At 43.7% G+C, this 24623-nt stretch overlaps 1 protein-coding gene across 18 annotated transcripts in view, besides 1 other annotated feature; it reads left to right on the forward strand.

The window, feature by feature from the left end:
* Positions 1–24623, forward strand: part of HHAT (hedgehog acyltransferase) — a 348963-nt gene that overhangs the window by 64722 nt on the left and 259618 nt on the right. For 9 of the 18 annotated variants that reach the window (XM_047424804.1, NM_001122834.4, NM_018194.6 and 6 more), the window contains 2 exons: positions 8419–8613; positions 12415–12630. The exons of 3 other annotated variants lie outside the window; for them this stretch is intronic. In XM_047424804.1, coding sequence (XP_047280760.1) covers positions 8419–8613; positions 12415–12630 — 411 coding nt within the window. The remainder of the gene's footprint in view (positions 1–8418; positions 8614–12414; positions 12631–24623) is intronic. 6 more of the 18 variants (NM_001170588.3, XM_047424806.1, XM_047424823.1 and 3 more) reach the window with 2 other exon arrangements.
* Positions 1656–1950: an enhancer, noted in NCBI's record as "tiled region #10816; HepG2 Activating DNase matched - State 8:EnhW, and K562 Activating non-DNase unmatched - State 24:Quies". NCBI's record gives its function as "activates a minimal TATA promoter and a strong SV40 promoter by Sharpr-MPRA in HepG2 cells, with weaker activation in K562 cells {active_cell/tissue: HepG2 | K562}" and the evidence as "EXISTENCE:reporter gene assay evidence [ECO:0000049][PMID:27701403]".

Here is a 24623-nt window from a genome sequence, read left to right on the forward strand (position 1 = left end):
GTAGAGACGAGATCTTGCTGTATTGCCCAGACTGGTCTTAAACTCTTGGCCTCAAGTGATCCTCCCATTTCAGCATCCCAAAGTGCTGGGATTACAGGCATGAGCTACTGCACCTGGCCGGATATTTCATATATTTTTAACTGAACACATGGAAGAATGAAATGATGGGCAGAAGGAAAGGTGGGAGTTGCCCTGGGGACACTGTGTTTTTCATCTGTCCTCCCCACGTCTCTGGGCCATACACATCAGGACCCACATGGCCTCCTCTGATGGGTCTCCTTTGCCTCTCACCCTTGTTCTTGTTCCTCCTTGTTTGCTTCCTGTAGATCAGTGTTTCTTAAATTTTTTTCAGTATTGTCCCCAGGGCACCTTTCTAGATAATTTTTTTCCCTGATCATCTCTCCTCTGTGAAATTTTAATACTACAGATATCCTGTTTATATCTCTTCATGTACTGTGCGTATGTCTGTGCTTTATGCATAAGGAGTAAGGTTTTCTAGCCCCTGATAACTGACAAGTAACCTAAAACTTAGATAAAATATAGTACTAATCTTCTACAAATGTTAAATTATTAAAAAAATAATAGAGATAGAGTCTTGCTGGTCTCAAACTCCTAGCTTCAAGCGATCCTCCCACCTCTGCTTTACAAAGTGCTGGGATAACAGGCGTGAGCCACCATGCCCAGTCATTACTAATTTTAATTTCCATTCTATCCTTAGGTCTAGCCTACAAAATCTGCCCCACCCCACCTCGTTTATAGGAGATACAACCCTTGTTGAGAATGCATGACTGATATTAATAACCTGTTCCTGATTAGATGCCCCTCCCTCTTTCCAAACCTCCTCCACGTTCAGCTCCTGTTTCGCACCTGACATTGGCAGAAATCTAGCTATATTAGGATATAGATGTCCCTTCATTTTATTTGCTTGTACCTTTGAGTTCTTGCTTCTCCTCTCGTGGGAGGCAGTATTTGGTGTGGTTGAGAGCACTAGGGTCAATCCCTGCATTGGCCACTCTCAAGCTGTGTAACCTTAAACAAGTTCCTGAATATCTCTAAGGCTGCTTCCACAGTTGTGCAAGCAGGATGGCACTGCTGGCTTCGTGGAGTTGTGGAGAGGGTCTGATAATCAAATGTTTTTCAGAGTTATGCTTGCACATGAGGACAGCCCAATAGATGGTGTCTGCTGCTGTCATCTGCTGGCATTTGCTCCTGGGAGCAGTTTATGGTGTTCAAGAATGGAGGTGACGGTCTTGAGATTCCAAAATCCTCAAGGGCATAGGCCATGTCTAGCATCCATACCAATGTTCCCATACTGATGGTCTTTTCAAGCTTGTCTTGGGTCCTGGGGGAAAGGATTGAGAAACACAGCCCCTTCCCTTGGGGAGTCACAGTTGAGTGGGAAGTTAGGAAAGCAAATACTGCTCACTCTTCTGTACCTGATGTTGTTGGCTGGGCACGTTACTATGGGAGAAGGTGTAGGTCTCACCTGCCGTTCTGGTCTCAGAGCAGGCCTCCGAGAAGGTGGCTTTTGAGCTGTGGCTTGAAGGAAATGGAGTTTACTTATTTCACCTTTCTGCATCTTGTTACCAGGCAGGGGTGGACAGGTGGACTAGGCTTCTTCTCTGCAGAGCACATCTTATCCAATATCAGTAGGAGGTATTCCTTTGCATTTTTCTTGGAATGAGGCAGAGTGAGCACTGAGTCATCTCCCTCTGTATGTGCCTCTCTCATCCTCTGGGTGACCACGGGTTTGATTTGTGAGACAGCTGGTGGGCCGGGTTCTGCCTGTGGCTGGGGCACAGTGCTTTCTTTGTCTGAGTTTGCTTGGCCCTTACATAAGTATGAACCACAGCGTTGGCCTCATTAGCTCTCTGCTTTCACCACCTGGACTAAGTGTTCCAGATGGCCTTAATTCGGGTAGTTGTTTTTGGTACTTACTCAGAGTGGAAGATTTAGGCTGCAGTTGTCCTTTTTTCTCCCCATTCTCTGAGGCATCCTAAACTATAGGCAACACTATGCAGGGACAGGCTTTAGCAATTCTTGCTGTTGTAGCCTTAAGCCCTGAAGGATTCTAGCCTCCTCCTTTATCTACTATCTAATCTCGTCTCTTCCTTGGCTCATTCCACCTCCTCCCATGGAGAGGTGACAGGTTATTTTTATTTTCAAAAGCATGATCTATCTTTTTTTTTTTTTTTTTTTTTTTTTTTTTTTTTTTGCCATGGTAAGAAATAAAACTTTCCACTGAGTTCCTTGGCTCAGTTAAACACCCTTTCCCTGGATAAGGCTCTCTCTTTGGGTTTTGGTGAGACTTCATCAGGAGCCAGTGCCCCTGGAGGGAAGGCTGAATCATGGCTTTCAGCTTTGGCTGTGCATTTGTTATGATTGGATTGGATGTCACGGGTCAGACAGTTGCCTCCTTTCATGAACGCCAACTGTGGCCTCACTACCACCTGAGACATTGTGTTCTCTGCCCTCAGAACCAAAAAATACCCCCGTGTGAACTTTTTGAGAAGACTGGCCTGGTGTAGGGTTGAGGGTGGGTGCTGTTGCTAACCACAGAGCCGGGTTCTCACTGTGCCTCTGACGGGAGAACCCACATCATTAGCAATTGACTGACAGGCTGAGCTCATCAGGCGCAGGTAATGCAAAGGGCTGAGAAGCCTGACCCATGGTGCTGAGTGAGATGAGTTAACCAACCTCTGGAAGGCTGCAGGGAGCAGGGTTCTTTTCCAGGACAGTCCCAAATCTATCCACTGAATAGAAATCTCATGTGCTAATGGTTTTCCTGGAATCAGCCCCTTCTACCTCCATCAGTGCATGTCTAAGGAGGGATGAAATTCCTTTTACGTGGGCCTGCTGGCCTTTGCTCCCAGGAAATGGGATGCAGTTGTTCAGACTGTGGGATGGGTGGGTTGTATTTTTCTGTTTGGGGAGATTATATATACATATGTATGTATATATATAATACATATATATTTCAGTAGCAGCTGCTATTGATTATGTAGTATGTAATAAATTGTGTCATACATAAGATTGATTGATTCCCTTTATTATTTTCCGAATAATGCTCCCATTGAGTGGTTTCTTGGCAGATGTGCAAAAAGAATTAATAGGCAGGGACGTCTGATAATGTTGCCAACAGGAATTCTGACCAAGGCTCTACACTTTCACTCCTCCCTACAGAGGTAAACTCTAAGGAGGGAACCCACCAGGCATACCCTATTATCACTTGGCACCCTTGGCACAGAATGAGCTGAAGTAGAAACAGATGGTGTGAGAAGGGGCATTGTCTGGCAGTTTTTCCTGACTCCTTATGAAGAAGGTTAAGAGTATGGATTTCAAAAGAAAGGAGGGCAAATCTGTAGTCTTTTCTTAAGGGCACTGACACCAATCCTTGGAGCTCTGCCAGCTCAACTGGTTATTCTCCCGGGAGACTCTGCTGGGGTGATGGATAGAAGCCTCTATAACAGGTATCCACTTTCCTGGATTGGTACCTGTGCCCCATCAGTTGTTAACTATTGGAGATTTCCCCCAACAGAAGTGGAGTTGTTAAGAGATGCTGTGAGTAGCAAACAGGTAATAGGCAGTGAGATGTGAAATGTCTCTTCCATTCTACCTACATTAGCAAAACAGCCATTGTTTATAAGGGGTTAAGTAGGACAAGTAGAGACTTTGGAAGACAGTAGGTTTTCACATTATTGGGTTCCAAAGTCCACATTTTACTGCTATTTTCTTGTTTTTTCTTAGTCATGATCTCAAGGTTAAATCCCAAGACTTGGGAAAGCATATCCATCTACCCAGCTATCCATCCATGCAACTATTCTCTCCATCCTTCCATCCAATAGTTATGAAACACGTGATATATGCTAGGCACTGTGCTAGATTCTGGGCTTACATTACTGTAATCTAAACAAGGCAGGAGTTTAGCCTATTAAGGAGACTATCAAGTAGAGTCAGACCCCATTTTGAGAGTGGTTCAGTGTAGACTCAGGGAGCAGAGGGGAAGGATGCCTGCTTAAGTCAACCAGGGTTAGTAAGATCTATGTCTCATCAAAAAGGCCATAGCGTTCAGTCTGGCTTTGTCTCCACTGCTGTAAAAATAGAGTATACTTTCTTATTTTTCATCAGCCTTTTAAACACTTCCCCTCTTCCCCGGCTTTCTGTTTCATCTCCTATTAGAAATGGAAGAACCTGGAATAAAGACCATTGAGTGAGGGTCAGAGTAGTTCCGGTGGGGCTGTCATCCTGTGCTCCAGCAAGCTCATCTCAAGCTTCAGGTCACTCATGCTTTGATACCTTTTAAAAGAGCATGATAAATTCAAATTAAAACCACAACGAGATGTCATTACACACTTACCAGAATGGCTCAGATAGAACATAGTAACAGCACCAAATGCTGGCAAGGATGTGAATAAACTGGATCACACATGCATTGCTGGCAGGAAAGTATAATGCTACAGCCATGCTGAAAAACTGTTTTATAGTTTATTATAGAACTAAATATGCAACTACCTTGCACCCCAGCAAGTGTGATCTTGGGCATTTATCCCAGAGAAATGAAAACTTATTTTTACACAAAAATCTATGCATGTGTGTTTGCATAAGTTTTATTTGTAATAGCCCCACATTGCAAACAGCCTAGATAGCCTCCAGTAGGTTAATGGCTAACAAGCTGTGGTATATCCACATCATGGAACACTACTCAGCAATGAAAAGGAGCAAACCATTGATACAGCAACTTGGATGAATCTGCAGGAAATTACGCTGAGTGAAAAAAGCCAATCTTTGAAATGGAGAAGAGGTTACTGGTTGTCAGGATTAGGGATGGGGGTGATCAGAGGAGTGGGAAGGAGGTAAATGAGGTATAAAATGGCAACACAAGGAATCCTTGTGGTGATGGAGCTGTTCTGCATTTTTACCATGGTAGATACCAAACCTATACATGTGATAAAATTGTATAGAACTAAACACACACATAAATTAATAGAAGTGAAACTAGAGAAATCTGAATAAGTTTGGTGCATTGCAGCAACATCAATATCCTGGTTATGATATTTGTGGTTTTAAAAAATGTGCCATAGGAAGAAACTGGGTAAAGTATACAAGGGATGTCTCTTGTATGTATATGTGAATACAACTATCTCAAAAATCTGAGAAAGAACATTACATAAAAGTTGTATGCAACTGGAATCTGTAAATCAGAAACATCACAATCCAACATTGAGGCCATGTTTTACCTATACACTTTATGTGATCAATGTGATTCTTTGTCTTCTTTCAAGTAACAAGTAATTCCCAATCATCTTCATAATTTGAACCTTGTAATTTAAATGAATTGGGCTATTTTGGTGTTTAGGTGGGTTTTTAAACTTGAGTTTGACGTACAGTATGTGTGTGACCAAATCTTGTATGTCTGCTCTTATTACCCTGAGAACTTGGGGAAAAAAATCTGAAAGCCTTTCTAGTGATGAGTCAGAAGTGTTGTTTTGGAACAAAATGCAACACAATTTTTTTTTTTTTTGAAAAGTTAAAAAAATTCTGGCCTGGTTGATGTCAGAAGCTTAATACTGATAGTTAAGCATTTTTACTTAAGAGAGAAAAAAGGTTGATAAATACATAAGCACATTTGGAGTAGAGATGGATGGGACAGGGCTATCTTTAGGCCTTTGCTGATGAAACTGGCCTTTGAAATGCTTAGAAAAAGCTCTTCTGCTGCCCAAAGAAGCAGGCCGTCCATGCTGCTGCCCACCCTGCTGGGCCATGTCACCCTTTTATCCTAGAACCCTCTTCATAGTGCTTGAGATCTAGGTATGTGCATGGGAGGGATCGTGGTTGGGCAGCTGTGCCCTAAGGGCTACCTCTATAATGGGGACTGCCCTGCCATGATGCCAGTTGGATTGCAAGACATGGGAGGCTGATTCTGCTCTAGCAGGATTTTATTTACTTGTTTGTTTGTTACTTATTTTGAGATGGAATTTTACTCTTGTCTCCCAGGCTGGAGCGCAATGGCGCGATCTTGGCTCACTGTAACCTCTGCCTCCCAGGTTCAAGCGATTCTCCTCTTGCAGTATTTTAATGGTGTTTTGGGGATAGGATTCATTCCAATAGCATTTTTATAGACAAAGTATGAAAATCAACATTTTAGTGGGATTCTAATATATACAACAGTTTCGTGTAGGTGATTCTTTTTGCATTATTCACATCTTTTCATTGCCTGTGCATCATGAATGTATATAGTAGAGTTGCTTGTACTTGGGGAGAATCAATGGGTAATATTAAGATGGGTAGAGAACATGAGGCTCATGTGAGAGCGTGTCCTGTGATGTCTTAGAACAGTATTAAGTGTCGTCTGCCTGTACTGTTTGGCAGTAGGGAAACAGTGGGGGATGAATATGGGACAAATTTTTCTGCCCCAAGGTGGCTTTGGAGACCACTGTTAAATTCATCATAGTCTCTCAAGTAAATGGGGTTTACACAGCACTATCAAGTATTTCCTGAAGCTTCTTTCAGCATTTTCCAAGTTGAAGCAGCTTCAGTCTGTGGTAAGTTCCCAAACGAATCCCAGCAAACAGGCTTTTTCCAAAGGGATCAAATAGCACTTAATAAAAACATAACTGTGTCTATGTATGTAGCCACACATGCACAAAAAAGAATTCCATTGGTAAATGCTGTAGGTCATGTTGGAAAAGAAGCCCCTTTTTTTCATTTGTTAAAACTACCTCTTAAAATAGTCTTTGGCCATGTATTCCTTATAATTGGACTCTGCCCAGAGGTGAGGGTTTGAAGCAAATTTATGTGGCTGTTTTCTGTGGGTAGTAGGATGGAAAAATAGTAAAAATGAACTTCACATTTCTCTGGTTTTCTTGGAACTTAAAAATGGCTGATCTAGTCTCATATTTAAAATGTTCTCTTGAGCTAGAGTATAGGTTTGGGAAAGAATGGTAGGTAGGCAATATTTTGAAAGAGTTAGCATCAAAGCACGGGATTTGCAATTTACACTCCACACCTGTCTTGCCCTGAAAAAAGTCTTTGTTTCCACAAGACGACCTAAGTTCAGGCACTTATCACTTTTCAATTCGGTGGTTCCTGGGATCCACATTTTAAAATGCATGCCCGTGAGACATCACATTTCCCTATGGGAATAACAACTGTATTTGTAGAGTCCTTCCTGTGTATCCACCCCATGAAGGAGATATTGTTATTATTCCAGTTTTGTTTTGTTTTTGAGATGGAGTCTTGCTCTGTTGCCCAGGCTGGAGTGCAATGGTGCGATCTCGGCTCACAGCAACCTCTGCCTCCCGAGTTCCAGGGATTCTCCTGCCTCAGCCTCCCGGGTAGTTGGGATTACAGTCACCTACCATACCTGGCTAATTTTTGTATTTTTAGTAGAGATGGGGTTTTGCCATGTTGGTCAGGCTGGTCTTGAACTCCTGACCTCAGGTGATGCACCTGCCTCGGCCTCCCAAAGTGCTGGGATATCCCAGTTTTATATATGAAGAAATGAATCCACAGAGATGGAGTCATTTGCCTCAGGTCACACAGGTAGTTATGAGACACCAGCATTTGAATTTAGGCAGTTAGACTTCAAAGCTTGAATCATTAAACCACAATGATACCTTGCGTCTCAAAGTTAAAACATTGTGGTTTTTAAGGATTTCCCCATCAGGTCTGACCAAGGTTATATCATAAAGCAAAGACATGTTAATTCATCTACTTATTCAATGTGATAACTATAAATTAGTTGATGATTAGATAAAAATCTGTGATTCTCCTAAAATGGGAATAAATGTATCAATCAGGTAGACTATGCAAAGTCCTCAATAGCTCATAAAGCAGGTAAGATGCAATTTTTCTATGACATAAATTTGACTAATCAATATGCAAAAAATCAAAAATGCAAAAAAACCCTACATATTTAAAATCTCTGGCTTAGACTTTGGAAAGTCTTTTGTGGTTTGGATGGCCCAGTTTTCTTAATAGGTCTTCCTAGAAATGTGTACTAATACTTTCTCTCACCTTCACTTCTGAAGGATGCTGTATGTGGGATGTGGTCCAGTTGGCATTTTTCCAGCTGTCTTCTGGCTTCCATTGTGTCTGTTGAAAAGTCAATCCAATATCTTATTGTTGTGTGACCCAGGGGTCTGGGTGGCTTTGGTTGAAGGCAGGAGAGTGGTTACTTGCTTCTGGGTGGAGCTGATGGGACTCTGGGGGTTAATGTGGAAAGTCCCTCTGAATCTTGTTTGTCTGTGTTGTACCAAAATTCCCAGGGCAGTGATAAGAGTTTCTTTATTGGGTAATTAAACGTGATCCTCTTACATGTAGAACCTTCAATATCACTTCCATGAGCTCACTTCTGTTTATTTTCCTCCCTCCCCTCTTCCTCCCTGTCTCTCTCTGGATGGGCCCCACCATTTGCAGCACAGACCCTGGATTCTCATGCTCTATGGGATGTGGGCCTGCTGGTGTGTGCTGGGGACCCCTGGTGTGGCTATGGTTTTGCTCCATACCACCATCTCTTTCTGCGTGGCCCAGTTCCGGTCTCAGCTCCTGACGTGGCTCTGTTCTCTCCTCCTCCTCTCCACACTGAGGCTGCAGGGTGTGGAAGAAGTTAAGGTAAGTGTTTTCCTGTTACCATTGGGAATCCAGAGAAGGCCCCTTTGGCTTTGCCTTGATCCCAGTAGACACCTTGGTTTTCAGACAAGAGATGATTGTAGAACTGTGATGGGGCTCCCCATAGTGGCCGTACAGGGTTGCTACAAGTGAACCCTAGTGGTGCATTCTGCAATCCTATCATTCCTGGCTGTGTTTTAGCCCTGTGAGATTGCCCAGGGCTGGCCCTGTACCATCTCTCCCAGTTTAGGTGGGCATGTGGGGTGCCAGATGTCACAGGGCCAGAGGGTCAGGAACAAAGAGAGAAGAAACAAACAGATGATTTACTAAAAAACATCTGGAGAGTGCCCTACAATTTATAGGGAATGCACACATCACTCAACTCATCTGATGGCCACAATGGCCCTGTGGTGGTAAGTCAGGTCTTTTTCTTCTTCCTAGTTGATGGAACAGATTTATTTATTCATTTGTAGAGACGGAGTCTTGCTCTGTCACCCAGGGCTGAAGTGCAGTGGTGCGATCTTGGTTCACTGCAACCTCCGCCTCCTGGGTTCAAGCGATTCTCGTGCCTCAGTCAACCGAGTGGGTGGGATATAGGTACCTGCCACCATACCCAGTTAATTTTTGTATTTTTAGTAGAGATGGGGTTTCACCATGTTGGCCGGGCTGGCCTCAAACTCCTGGCTTCATGTGATCTGCCCACCTTGGCCTCCCCAAAGTGCTGGGATTACAGGTATAAGCCATTGTGCCCGGCCAGGAACATATTTATTATCTACTCATGTGACCCAGTGGAAGCTCTTTCAATTTAGGTAGTGAAAACAAAGTGTTTAGCCCCGAAGGGCACAGACCAAGCTTTCATTTCTGTAAACCCAGAGGCATTTTGACAGACTCAACCACCTATCCATTGTTGGTGCTAATAGAGGAGGACACTGGGCTCAAACCTCACTTCTTTAGGGCTTTTGTTTGCATTAGTAAAATCTTATTTTATAGGCACTTACCTTTTAGCTTTATTTTTTTTCTCAGTCACAATAACAGTGCATTTTTACTTTATGAGTGCACATCAGACTTGACCCAGAGAATTGGTGGATGACAGACAGACTGCCTTCTGAGTTGAGTTTCCTGTGCCTTGCTGAGGCGATTGCACCTATCAGCAAATTCTTCTTGTACTACATTTTCTGATTTCTGTTGTGTGTTCTCTGATCATCTCCTGGGCAGTGGCTAGCATCCCCTGGACGGCTCTGGACTATCTGTTTCTGTCTTTGGTAACTGGAGTGACCTAGCCCTGCTTATGCAATTGAAGCTTAGGCCCCTCAGCCTATCTCAGGCCCACTCAGGCTGTGTGAGGTTCCTTCTCTCACTTGTCTGTTGAATACACCCTTTACATGTTCAAGTTGGAGCTGCCAAGGTCTGTGGCTGCAGGGGAGTAAAGGCAGAGTCTGTGTGGAACTCTCAACCATCCAGAAGTGGGAGCTTTCTTTTAAGGAGAAATGCATGGCAAGAACACAAGTCCAAGGCCCCAGCTCCAGGGTCTGGTTCTGGGCACTCAGCTTCAGAGCCCTTCACTTTTGGGGCCAGTTGACTCTGAGAACAGCCAGCCTGAGAGTTGCGCAGCTTGGAAAACATCAGGGGTCATATGCCCAGGGCAGGACCATTGATGTTTCCCACCTTCATCGACCTTCTCCTTCCTAGCCCGGTTCCCAAACACTGCCCAACTGGCAGGAGCTGTTTTTTTGAGTCAGGCCAATCTGCTTACCTTTCCCTTTACACATTTACGTATGTTTATGCTGTCTCTTGGAACCAACCTTCTCATCATCCCTGTCCACCGGATTCTCTTTCAAAGTACAGCTTAGACCTCAGTCTCTAAAGGTAAGAAATAAAAGAGGGCCACAGAAAAACAGATCAGTTAGTGTCCGATACTGCTCTGAGAGCTGCTGGCTCTTACAAACTGGTAAACAATAAAACAGTAGCATGTAAGTGACCAGGTGTCACCTAGAGCTTTGGGGACACTGCACACACCTATCCCTTCCTCTAACCCCCTAGGATCTCCATAGGCACATTCAAAATCTTGGGCAGTGTTGGGTATTCTTTCTTCAATCACTGTGGGACTGGAACTCCTGTGGTATCTTTTTATTCATTCATTCAGTCACTCATTCATTGATCCAGGTGACAACACTTAGCATTCATGTGCCCTGCATCAACACAGTGATGGGAAGGAACATGATGGGAAATGTGAGATGGATGACCTGGTTCCTAGTCTATTCTATTCCCCATCTCTTCCTACTCTGAAGCTGGAGCAGTCATTTAACCTCTGAGCCTCAATCTCATCATTTGGAAAACAGAAGTAATAAATCCTCTTCCTTCCTCATGGGATTGTTCTGAGAGTCAAACGGGATAATCTATGTTAAGTGATTTTGTGAAAATTGTAGCATTTTGAAAGTTCAAGTATTTTTTGCTGTTTTTAGTCTACCTTCATTTTTCTCACTCTCATTAATGATGTGGGGCTAGCATTTTAAGCACGTATGTCAAAATCTGGACTTATGAGAGTATATCAGATAATCACTCCGTTTTAATGAAGATACTTCCCAGAATGATTAGGCAACCATTTAGGCAAGTGTGCTTAAAAACAGATTTACAGTAAAAATAAAAACAAGCTCATACCTAACCTTTTGGGGACCTGGCAAGTGTACAAACAGAATCTAATTCCATTTATCATTTATTTGGGGACAATTAGCATCAGTTATAGATGTTGGAGGTGAATAAATGTTCATTTGTTCTGCAAATTTTACAGTGATTTGAAAAACACTGAGGAAGGAGATCATGTGATTAGAAACTAGCTGGGTTTCCATGCTTTTGCACATGTGGTTCTCCTGATATGATTATCCTCTTTTCCCTTGGTGGCTGCTAAAGTCTTGTACAAGAAGTAGAAACTCTGTTCAGTGGTTGGTTTTTCTGTGTACAGCTTTAAGAGACCCTGATGGATCAAGTTAATTACTTTCTCCTTTGACCCAAGTTCTATTTCTCGTATGTATTTCCATAAATAGTTTTTCTCACTAAATGTATTTTTGGAAAACATGGAAAATGTAGAAAAATATAGAAATTAGAAAATACTTCATAATTTTACTCCCCGATATTAACATTTTATTGTATTTCCTTCTCATTTTTTGTTCCATGCATATTTTTGCACAGGTTATTTCTTGTTTCATGCTCTATTGTAATTGCATTTTTACACATCTACGTCCTGTATGAGAATTTAACATATTGAGGGCAGGGACTTTTTTTTTTTTTTTTTAAATATTTGTCTGTAAAGCTTATTAGACAAATGCTACTCAACTAAATGTAGAGCCAAACTGATAACAAAAGAGGAAAACGAAAAATACATTGAAGACAGAAATCCCATGGGACATTTTAAGCCCCTCTTTGTTATCTGAATTGTTGAAGAAGCTGTCAAAGTATCCACTGGATGTAGCTAATCTGCACCTTATGCCCTGGATGTATCTGATACATGCCTAACTGGGAAAACCTTCGTTATGTTGTGTCAGACCTAATGCTAGGTTAACATTAGAGATGTCCTTTTTCCTACTGCTCATTAACTGCTTGCTTTGATTACCAATGAGATTTACCTGGTGTTCATTGGTTCTCGACTGCCTTTTATGGCACAGCTGCTCTGCCTGAAGAAGAAATTGCCTTCCCAGAGCCCCCTGGGATTCTCAGATGACGGTGGCCCTGCTGGCCAGCACCTGCAGTGGGACTGGACGATGTCCCTGCTGGCCACTCAAAGGTTGTTCTCTCCTTTTGATTTTGTAGAGAAGGTGGTACAAGACAGAAAACGAGTACTACCTGCTGCAGTTCACGCTGACCGTTCGCTGCCTGTACTACACCAGCTTCAGCCTGGAGCTCTGCTGGCAGCAGCTGCCTGCTGCATCGACCTCCTACTCCTTTCCCTGGATGCTGGCCTATGTCTTTTATTATCCAGTCTTACACAATGGGCCCATCCTCAGCTTCTCGGAGTTCATCAAACAGGTAGAGCCCGCTGGGGATGGGATTGGGATTCTATAGCTTAAGCCTTTGTCGCTGTTGCTCTGGTCTTCTCTGACTCTTGAGTCGTTTTGTTCAGAGGTGCCCACAGATTTACAACACATACTATTAGTTCTCATGAGGTTTTTTGTAATAGATGAAATACATATGAGAAATGAGCCTTTAAAATAAAGTTTGACCCATCAGATATGTCAGCTCTAGGGGGTCCCACCTTGATTTTCAGTGAACTCTGGCAACCAGGATTAATGAGTAGGGCACAACAAGGAGTTTGGGAGTTGGTATCCACTGTGGCAAAGTCCCAAGGAAAGAAAAAAATTTGATTATGATGCTATTACTTGAAGGAATAGAAAAGGAAACTGTCTAAGCTGTTGCTTGGCAAATAGTATGTTTCCTTTTATATTCACAAGCTGCTTAAGAAATAGTCCTGCCATAGCCTGGGAGCTGTTCAGGGTGACCTAGGTGTGAAAACAGAGTGGAGTTGAAGTAAGTTCGAAGGCAGTGGTGTGTGTTCATGTCTGGATCCCCCTTTGTGCCCAGGCCCCCGCCTGCCTTCCTCGGACGGCATCCTTGTCTGAAATGCCATGTTAAGCTACCTCTGTTGTTCCCCCCTACTTCACTTTTCCCCCTTGTTTAGAACTTTCTTTTTTTTCTGCCTCCTCAACCTACCTCTAGTTTCATGGAACATAATTGCTAAGTTAATTCACCTAAGGAATTAGTAATTGAAAATGCCTAAAACAGTGTTCTCAAGGGATATTCTATCCCTCACCAACAAAACAATCCTCATAGAGGAGAAAATAACATGTACGTGCATACACAGACATGCATGCACACGCAGAACACATACCCACGCATACGCACACACCTGGAAGGGCAGGGCAAGCAGCAGTGTTGCACATTTCTGGGCAGCAACATGAAAGTTGCTCCCTGAAAAAGGAGGGTTCTTAGAAATCTTATTTTGTCCTCAAAGTTCCACTGAATTATGCATTGTATTCAAGAATATATTTTTGCATTATAACAATAACATAATGTTCTAAAATTTCCAGTGAAAGTATGTAACTTTTTATATCTCTAGAAATCTGTAAGTGAAATTGATATTCTAGACAGATATGTTTAGTCTATGGTTTCTCATACCTCGGTTTGGGATCGTTCTTTTGTCATGAAGGAATTTAAAATCTGCATTTGAAATTGTGTTTAAAATTATTGTGTAAAAGAGATGGTTTAATGATGGCAGCTGATCTTCTAACTCAATGATTTGCAAAGTGTGGTTCCTGGACCAGCAGCATCAGTATCGCCAGAGAGCTTGTTAGAAATACAAATTCTCAGGTCCTCTCCAACCTCCTGAATCACAGCCTCTAGGGATAAAGCCCAGGAAGGTGGTTTAACAGGCCCTCCAGGAGGAGGGTGGGAGTAAAGGTAAGGTGGGCACAGCATAGGGTGGGTTCCTCTCTTTTACAATCTCCTTACCTTTGTGAACTTTTGAATTATTCTCAGTTTGCCAGCCAATAACTTTTGGACCAAACATCCACACACAGACACCCCTCTCCTGAGGATGGCTGGTAATTTTCAGAGAAACATAAACTAAATCCATTAGAAGGAAACAGATTATTTTCCTAACTTCCTCCTGTATATAAGCTTTGCCTGTATGCTCTGTACTTTGTTATTATGCAAAATAATTGTTTCTGTTATTTCTCATCTCCTTTTTCTTCTTTTTTTTTTTGAGACAGAGTCTTACTCTGTCACCCAGGCTGGAGTGCAGTGGTGTAATCTCAGCTTACTGCAACCTCCACCTCCTGGGTTCAAGTGATTCCCGTGTCTGAGCCTCCTGAGTAGCTGGATTACAGGCATGCACCAGCAAGTCCAGCTAATTTTTTGTATTTTTAGTAGAGACCGGGTTTTGCTATGTTTCCCAGGCTTGTCTCTAACTCCTGAGGTCAGGCAATCTGCCCTCAGCCTCCCAAAGTGCTAGGATTACAGGCTTGAGCCTGGCCTCCCTTTTCAAATTGTGCCTTTTAGGGTCTAGTAAGAATATTAGAGGCCTCTAGCAGGGTCCTGTGTCACACAGAGGCACGCTTTAAGATTATCTTCCACCTAAATCCTTAGCCAAGGGTTCTCATTCTCTTGAGTCTCATTCTGGGGAAGTGAAGGGGCAGGTTGCTTCCTGTAGGGGCCAGGTATAGACACTCTGGGTTTTATCCATGTCTTTTCCTTCCCTCTCTCTCTCTTCTTTTTTAACCCCTTCTAAAACAATAGCAATTGCTGACAGCAGGGAACTTGAAAGGGCAAATTAAAACCTCTATGTTTGGGGGAGTATTCATAGAATAGTCATTCTAGAAAAGGATAAATGTTCAGTAAGATATAGGGCAAATTTAAAAAGCCAGGAGGTTTCTGCACTTGCTGAAGGTGGCTGTGGGGAACTTCCCTTCTGTGGGGAAGGGGGCTTTAAAGGGGCAGGGGGTTAAACCAAAAAGCTTATCTTGCAGTGAAAGGGTTCTTTCAGAGAAGCCAAAAAGGAAAAGGCTGGGAGGTGGAGAAAGAAAGCTAGTTGGAAGAACTAGTAAGTAAGATTTGCTCTGAATGAATGCTTGAATGAATGCATGCATGAAATGCCTTCAGCTATAAGGATTGGAAATATTGAAATGCATGGTTCTTAGACTGGCAGGTCAATGCATAAAAATAACGTAGAGCAGGAGAATGACGCTGCACCACCAGGGGGCAGCAGTGCCCCATTGTGGAAACCAACCCCAGCGGGAAATCTTCACCCAGTATCTGCAAACTCCAAAAGATCAAATGACAATGTTAGTTTTAGGCATACACCTGGAGAATGTGTCTTCCACCCAATTTACATACACAAAATGAGGGAGGTATAGAAGCGTTGTCTTCTGCAATGTAAAGCATGTGAAATTTGCATAATTAGTCACGAACAGGTAAAAATTTGCCTCTGTGCCTTAACTTGAAGGCTATTTCTGGTGGCATTTAGAGTTTTAGGAACATGGGCCTGATTTGTTTTTCTCTCACGTTTCTGTGGAACTCGGATACCAAGTCAGCGGTGAGACAGGGATCCTGGGGGACTTAGGGAAGGGAAGGACATGGTGTTTACTTGCTTAGCCTGAAGCCTGGGGCCACTACGTCTTGAAGAGGTTGACTGGTGTGGTGTGGGCACTGGGGAGAAGAGCAGCCTTAGGGTGGTGGGCCAGGGACTCTTCCTTGCTGGGCACTGTGCTCTCCCACCTTAGAGAAGCCAGTGGTCAAATAGGGAATTTGGCATGGAGGTTGAGAGCAAAGGTCCTGGAGCCCACCCTCCAGGGTTTGAATCCCTGCTGTGCTTCGGCTTGAGAGTGCTTGCTGAGTTACTTACCTTACTTATGCCTCAGTCTTCTTATCAGTGAAATGGGAAGAATAATAGTGCCTCCCTCAGGATTGCTGTGAGGATTAAATGATTGTGTATAGGTAATGTGGTTTGACAGGTTAATACTATAAAGTGTTAATTCTTACTCTTATTATTATTTGAGACAGAGTCTGGCTCAGTTGCCCAGGCTGGAGTGCAGTGGCACAACTTTAGCTCATCGCAACCTCCACCTCCTGGTATCAAGTGATTCTTGTGCCTCAGCCTCCCAAGTAGCTGGAATTATAGGCGTGCACCAACGCACCCAGCTGATTTTTGTATTTTTAGTAGAGATGGGGTTTTACCATGTTGGCCAGGCTGGTCTTGAACTCCCGACCTCAGGTGATCCGCCCGCCTCGGCCTCCTAAAGTGCTGGGGTTACAGGTGTGAGCCACCATGCTCGGCCTCTTACTTTTATTATTGTGATGATTGGCCAGAAAGCAAGTGTAATTCTAGGGTAGTTTAGGTCAGAAGTGAGACCCTGGGTATCCAGTCTGGTAGGCAGGCACAGCAGCAGGGGACTCTGGGCCATGGCCATGCTTGGGCTCAGAAGAGGCCAGTGTGCTGGTTCCATCTATTTGAAGAGAGACCCAGGCAGCTGCTGCAGGAAAGGGATGGGGGCAGTCCAAGAGTTGCTGGGACTGGCAAGAGCTGTGCAAGGCAGTCAATGTCCCAGAAGCTTTGTTTAGTACTTGGCATGGGCTCTGGTTCTAGAGAGCACCTGGAATCATGCTAATTGTAATAAAATATACTAGGTGATCATTTAGTCTGAGCCAGGCTTTATACGTTCTAACTTAAAATGTTTGAGATGGTCTCACTCTGACACCCAGGTTGGAGTGCAATGGTGCAATCATAGCTCACTGTAGCTTTGGCCTCCCGAGCTCAAGTGATCCTCCCACCTCAGCCTCCTGAGTAGCTAGGACTATAGGTATGCATCACCACACCTGGCTAATTTTTTAAAAATACTTTTCTAGAGATGAGGTCTTGCTATGTTGCCCAGGCTGGTCTCAAACTCCTGGCCTCAAGTGATTCTCTTGCTTCGGCCTCCCAAAGTGCTGGGATTACAGGCACACACCATTGTGCCTGGCCATTCTAGCTTGTTTAATCCTCACAACCTGTGAGAGAGATACTGTCATGACCACTTTACAGACAGGGAAACAGAGGCAAAGAGAGGCTATTACAATGCAGATAGAGTGAAGGGAATCAAGACATGAGCCTTGTTGCGCTGACTTGGTGTGTGAGAGGAGTTAGAGGGGGATGGAGTGTGGCCTAGTGGACATGAAGGTCTGGAGGCTCAAGCAGGCTGAACCAAGTACCAGCCTTGGTGGCAGCAACACCTGCAGGCCCCACTTGCTGTTCTGGGAGAGCTCACTGGATGTTGCTGGCCTTGGTCTGGATGGCTAGCGGGTGGGAGTAATGTGGGTCTGATTAGGGAATGATTTGTTAGGAGTAGGGGTATGGTCTGTGACCAGTATAAAGGAATACAACAACTGCCACAAGGCCTCCTAGACCCAAGCAGAGAGAAGCTAATAAGTTAGTGGCCCAGGTGGCCCAGTTGAATATCTGCCTCTGGGGAGGGCTTTTGTTTGGTGCTCACAAACATATGTATTATTCGTGTATGAAGAAAAAGAACCTTTCATCTTTGAGAACTGTCATCTTTAATCATCAGAATATATTTGGGAGAAAGAGAAAGGCATAGCTATTCCTTTTTATGCAATTTGCATGAAATTAGGTTTTAAAGTATAATGCATTTTGAAATGCACTTTGCAGATGAGTTAATGTGTATTTTTTAGTGATGCCTGAACTTCACAATTTCCATGGTGGCAGTTTCCAGTGGTCTAAAGGTTTGGCAGTCCCCTAGGTTTGAAATGTCTTAAATGAAATACTTTGCATGCAGGCAAGAGAGCCGCCCTGCACATTAGATGAGCTATATATGGTCTGTCTGTTCTTCCTGCTGGGTTGACAAGGGACAAATTTTGGATTTTTTTTTTTTTGAGACAGAGTCTGGCTCTGTCGCCCAGGATGGAGTGCAGTGCTGCGATCTTGGCTCACTGCAACCTCCACCTCCCGGGTTCACGTCATTCTCCTGCCTCAGCCTCCCGAGTAGCTGGGCCTACAGGTGCCAGCCACCACGCCCAGCTAATTTTTTTGTATTTTTTTTAGTAGAGACGAGGTTTCATCGTGTTAGCCAGAATGGTCTCGATCTCCTGACCTTGTGATCCACCCGCCTTGGCCTCCCAAAGTGCTGGGATTGCAGGCGTGAGCCACCATGCCTGGCCGGATTTTTTAAACAAAAGACAGTCAACTAGATTGCAGATGTAAATGGACTGTAATAATGATATGACCCTAAAGAAAGATGAAAAACCTTTTGTTTTTTTTTTTTTAAGTAAAAGCAAATAGAATGAAAGTTGGATTGTTTTTCTTTTGCTGTGTTGTTTATTTGTAAATTTTTTTTTTTTTTTTTTTTTTAAGATAGAGTCTCACTCTTCACCCAGGCTAGAGTGCAGTGGCACGATCTTGGCTCACTGCAACCTCCACCTCCCAGGTTCAAGCGATTCTCCTGCCTCAGCCTCCCGAGTAGCTGGGATTACAGGCACCTGCCACCACGCCCAGCTAATTTTGTATTTTTAGTAGAGACAGGGTTTGACCCTGTTGGCCAGGCTAGTCTTGAACTCCTGACCTCAAGTGATCCGCCCGCCTTGGCCTCCCTAAGTGCTGGGATTACACGCATGAGCCACCATGCCTGGCTTATTTGTGCAATTAATAAACATTTCTGTTGCTTGGAGCAGGGAGGCAGTCAGCACCAGAAAAGGAGTGTTGCAGAGAAAAGTCTAGTCCTTTTGGTCCTGTAGTGACATGTAATTATGCCTTATTATACCTGGTAGGGAAGTTTTAGCTTGTGAAAAGTAGGTAAGTCATTATTAAGAAGCCAATGCATGACAAAATGTACCTCATGATTTTTCTTAATTACAGATATTTGTGTCATTTTAGAATGCACATGTTTGAGGAGGGAAAGGAGGCCTTTGAATTCACCTTGAAACGTGATTGCCTGGAGCTGAGAGGTGATTGGGTGTCAGCGATATTTTCTTGATTATCTTGGGGGCTGTTGGTTCTGGCCTCCTCCTGGCTCCCTTCCAGTCCAGCTGCTATCTCTCCACTCCCTGGGATGGGGCTCCATACCAAATGCTGCTTGGAGGCCCGAGGTACTGTCCTGGCCTTCAGGGAACCTGAGCTTTGGGTAGGTTATGCTGAAGAGCCTGTAGGCCATATGCACAGTTGGCTTATTTAGAAACTGTAGACATTTGTCTGTGTGAAGATTATCTGCTGTCAACACTGCTTTTGAGGCCATTATCACGTTCAGCTAGAAGACTTGCTTCTCTCCAAGAGTTTGAGCAGGTTGGGCACAGTGATTTACACCTGTAATCCCAGTGCTTTGGGAGGCTGAGGTAGGAGGATCACTTGAGACCAGGAGTTCGAGACCAGCCTGGGCAACACGGTGAAACTCAGCTCTACAAAAAATAAAAAAAAATCAGCCAGGCGTGGTGGTACATGCCTGTAGTCCCAGCTGCAGGGGAGGCTGAGGCAGGAGGATTGCTTGAGCCAAGGCTACCATGAGGTAGGGTCACATCATTGCATTCTAGCCTGGGCAATAGAGTGACACCCTGTGTCATAAAGAAAAGAGTCTGGGTGCCAGGAAAGACCTGTCCATTGGTCTAGAGTGATTTTGCTGCCTCTACATGTCTTACATGCCTCTACATGCCTCTACATGTCTTAACCTTGGTGTGAACTCCTCTAGCCTCTACAGACTAATGGATAGTATGTATCTTAGTCCATTCAGACGGCTATAACAAAATATCATAAACTGGATGGCTTCTGAGCATCAGAAATTTATTTCTCACAGTTCTAGAGGCTGGGAAGTCCAAGATCAAGACACTGCCAGATTTGATGTCTGGTAAGGGCCTGCTTCCTGGTTCACAGGATGGTACCTGTCACTGTGTGCTTTTGTGGTGGAAGGGGTCTAACTCTTTGGCGTCTCTTTTATAAGGGTGCTATTCCCAACCATGAAGAATGCCCTCATGACCTAATTACTTCCTAAAGGCACCATCTCCTAGTACCATTACCTTGGGGGTTAGGATTTCAACATAGGAATTTTTAGAGGGATGTAAACATTCAATTAATAATATTTTGCCCCTGCCCCCTGAAAATTAATGGCCTCCTTACATGCAAAATACACTCATTCCATCCTAATAGCCCCAATAGTATTAACTTGTTCCAGCACCAACTCAAGTGTCTGAAATCCAAAGTCTCATTTAAATATCATCTAAGTCAGATGTGTGTGATACTCAAGGTATGATTCATCCTTATGCAAATTCCCCTTCAGCTGTGAGCCTGTGAAATCAAGCTCTGTACACCCAAATCCAATGGTGAGACGGGCATAGGATGGACACTCCAATTCCAAAAGGTAGAAATTGGAAAGAAGAAAGGAGTAAAAGCTCCTGAGGAAGTCCAAAACCTTAAGGCTCAGGAATCATCATGTTTGGCTCATTACTCTGCCCTCCAGGCCCACTAGGGTGGAGGTTTCACCTCTCAGACACACTGGGGTGCCTCTGGACACATGGTGGTGGGGAGGGGGTTATGCCTCCTGCAGATCACCCAGGCCAGAATCTTGAGCTGGTGGCTCTACTGGTCTGGGGTCATGAGACAGTGCCACCCTCATGGCTCTGCTGGGCCCTGCCTCTGTGCAGTTCTTTGTCTGGGCCCCATGGCTCTCTAGGCATTGTTAGAAATCTAGGTGGAGGCAGCCACACCCCCTCACAGCTTTTCTGGTTGCAGTGCCAACTACACTGCACTGGGGCCCACAGGAGCCACCCTTGGGGCAGCCAAGGAGTGTGGTGACGGGGAGTGGGGAGCAGAGCCCACAATGTGAGGCAGGACTGGGCAGTGACAGCCCCTCCTTTGCATCTGCAATTGCTTTGTCCCCCAGGCCTTTGCACTCTGGCCTGTGATGATGGTGGCAGCAGAGAGGGTCAAAATATTCACAGTATTATAATGTTACATTACTTTTTCTCTGACTGAAAAGAACCAATTTTAATTGTAAAACATAACTAAAATCTCACCATCCAAAGATTACCACTGTTGACATTTGGTGTATATCTTTCCAGCCTTTCATTATTTTATGCACATTGAACACAAATAGTTTTCATGACTGAATTCTCTTTGTGATCACTCTTCCATTGTCTTGGACAGGAGGTCCTGGCTTCTGTTTAAACAGCTGACTAACCTTATCAGGTGGTTGGTTGGCCACATTCTTGATGTTCTCTCCTGAACAGGCTTTCTCATTCTTGATAGTATGGAAAGGCTGAGAGTTTTCCAAATCTTTAAGTTCTGCTTCCCTTTTGATTAACAATTTTGTCTTTAAATCACTTTTCTCCTCTGCTGTTTTACTATAAACAGTCAAGAGGAGCCAAGTTGCACCTTCAACACTTTGCTTAGAAATGGCTTTAGCTAAATATCCAATTTCATTACTCACAAATTCTGCCTTCCACAAAACACTAGGATACGAACACAATTCAGCCAAGTTCTTTGCTGGTTCATAACAGGATTGCTTTTCATTCAGTTTTCAATACCATGTTTCTCTTGTCTAAGAAATCATCAGATTGGCCTTTACCATGCACATTTCCACCAACATTCTGTTCACTACTGCTCAGCTATTCTTTAAGAATATTGAGGCTTTCTCTGCAGCTCTTCTCCTTTCCTTCTGAGCCCTTGCCAAAATTTCCCTTAAAGATCCATTTACAGCAATGTATACTGCTTAAAGCATGCACCTCCAAACTCTTCCAGCTTCTATCCATTACCCCTTCCACACTACTTGCATATTTTTGGGTATTTTGTTACAGCAGCACTCCCACTCTTGGTACTGATTTTCTGCCGTAGTCCATTTGAGCTGCTGTAACAAAATACTATAAACTGGTTGGCTTATAAGCCACATAAATGTATTGCTCACAGTTCTGGAGTCTGGGAATTCCATGATCAGTGAGTTGGCAGATTCAGTGTCTGGTGAGGGCCCGCTTCCTTGTTCATAGATTGGCACCTTCTCACTGTCTTCACACGGTAGAAGGAACTAGCTAACTCTCTGAGGTTTCCTTGATGACAGCACTAATCCTAATCATGAAGGGTCTGCTCTCATGACCTAATCACTTCTCAAAGGCCCCACCTCCTAGTACCGTCTCTTTGGGGGTTAGGATTTCAACATATGAATTTTAGTGGGGCACAAACATGCAGACCATAGCAGTGTGTTTGTAATCATGTCTTCTTTTGCTAGTGGTTATTAGGTCAAAATGAACTTGCTTTGGAGAGCTGGAAAAGGGTTGAAAATGAACCAAGAAGAACTCAGTACATAGCTACAAAAAAAATCTAAGAGTGAAGGGGGAAGGAAAGGAGAAATAAAAATTAGTCTAGCATAAAACATGGAGAAGAATACTCACTCATAGAGGATGCTGGGCTTCCTGGCAGAAGTTCTGATGCCAGGCATTTGGAGAAGCAGGATGAAGAAACAGAGGGGTCTTGAGTACATTTGCCTCTCTAACAGAGAGGGCCCAAATATTCACAACATTGTAAGATCACATTACTTTTTCTCTGATTTAAAAAAGAACCAATTTGGCTGGGTGTGATGGCTCACACCTGTAATCCTAGCGCTTTGGGAGGCCGAGGTGGGCGGATCACTGGAGGTCAGGAGTTTGAGACTAGCCTGGCCAATGTGGAGAAACCCCGTCTCTACTACAAATACAAAAAATAGCCAGGTGTGGTGGTACATGCCTGTAATTCCAGCTACTTGGGAGGCTAAGGCACAGAAATAGCTTGAACCCAGGGAGGCAGAGGTTGGGGTGAGCTGAGATTGTGCCACTGCACTCCAGCCTGGGTGACAGAGTGAAACTCTGTCTTAAAAAAAAAATCTTTTTAATTGTCAAAAATAACTAAACTCTCACCATCCAAAGATGACCACTTTTGACATTTGGTGTATATCTTTCCAGCTTTGGATTATTTTATGCACATTGAATAAAAGTAGTTTTCATGACCATACAATATTGAGGTACACACATGCATTTAACCAACACCCTAGTGTTGGACATTTGGGTTATTTCCTTTTAACTTCTCGTTTATTAAAACAAACGTGAATGATCTGGCAGGTAGGTGTTTCTGCACTGAGGATTTAGTGATTGACTGGCTTGTAACAGATCTGCTGCCATAGACTTCGTAGGGTCTCTCAGAGCATGCATGCTTGAGGTAAGGATTCAAATGAAAACCATCCTCAGTTTATGCCCAGAAAGGGGTCTGCCTGGGGTCACTAGTGCATCTGTAATTGCAGTTAGGTCTGATCAATACAAGTCTGCAAATATCCAAGGATACCCAATCTTGCTTCTTGGAGAACTCAAATTCTGCTTCCTGTGAACACTAACCAGATGAATTCTCCAAAGCAATTACTGTTGTTTCTTAACAGTGCAGATTGGTATGGCTGCATAAAATATCTTCCTGAAGTGACCTGAGGGAAACAAAAGGCAAAAGGGAAATTCCTGTTGTACCAATTTTTTCCTTTTTTTTTGAGACAGAGTCTCTGTCTGTCACCCAGGGTGGAGCGCAGTGGTACAGTCTCAGCTCATTGCAATTTCTGCCTCCCGGGTTAAAATGATTCTCCTGCCTCAGCCTCCTGGGTAGCTGGGATTACAGGTGTCTGCCACCACATTCAGCTAATTTTTGTATTTTTAATAGAGACAGGGTTTCACCATGTCGGCCAGGCTGGTCTTGAACTCCTGACCTCAGGTAATCTACCTGCCTCCACCTCCCAAGGTACTGGGATTATAGATGTGAGCCACCGTCCTCGGCCTAATTTACATTTTAAAAGTTAAAGCAACAAGCTTTTCTGGGCATAGTTAACCAAGCAGATGGCAAAAGGGAGAAAGCTGTTTGTGCAGATGATTGTAATGCCAATGAGCCGACCAAAATTTCTTAGCCTGGCTTCTTGTTGCGGGAGGACAGTTAGAGAGACTGGAAGAATGTATGTTAGAAAATGGAATAAAAATAAATCCCCTGCCGTGTAGCTCTCTCTTTCCCGCTGGGGGCAGTGCCTGCCACTCTCCTGGCTGCAGAGGGTCCCACAGCACCCTGATGATGGAGGAGAGAGAAGCTAAGGAGGTACCTCACGGAATGGGCCTTTATGTCATGAGCCCTGATAGTCAGATGCTAAATCAAGCTCATTTCCTCTACCGGCTAATGTGTGCAGATGCAGCTTGACATTTAGCATTAGTCTGTCCTCTGCATTTCAAGGGAGCTTTCAGTCTCATAAAATCTTGTCATTGTGAGATCCAGAAAACTTACTGTTCTCTCTAGTTTTTCTGTATTTATATTTGTTTAGTGGTATAAGGCTGAACGAAATTGAATTCACTTCAAATTTTCCAGCATGTTTATGAATTCTAGAATCTATGTGTTTTAAGTTACTGTGCATCTCTAAACAACAGGCAGTGAGGTGAGACCACAGAACTGGGCTTTAAAAATTTTCATCTGTGTTGTCCACTGTATTGAGTATGCCCTCAGTAGCTTC

The sequence above is a fragment of the Homo sapiens genome, chromosome 1, assembly GCF_000001405.40.
Source record: "Homo sapiens chromosome 1, GRCh38.p14 Primary Assembly".
Lineage (NCBI taxonomy): Eukaryota > Metazoa > Chordata > Mammalia > Primates > Hominidae > Homo > Homo sapiens.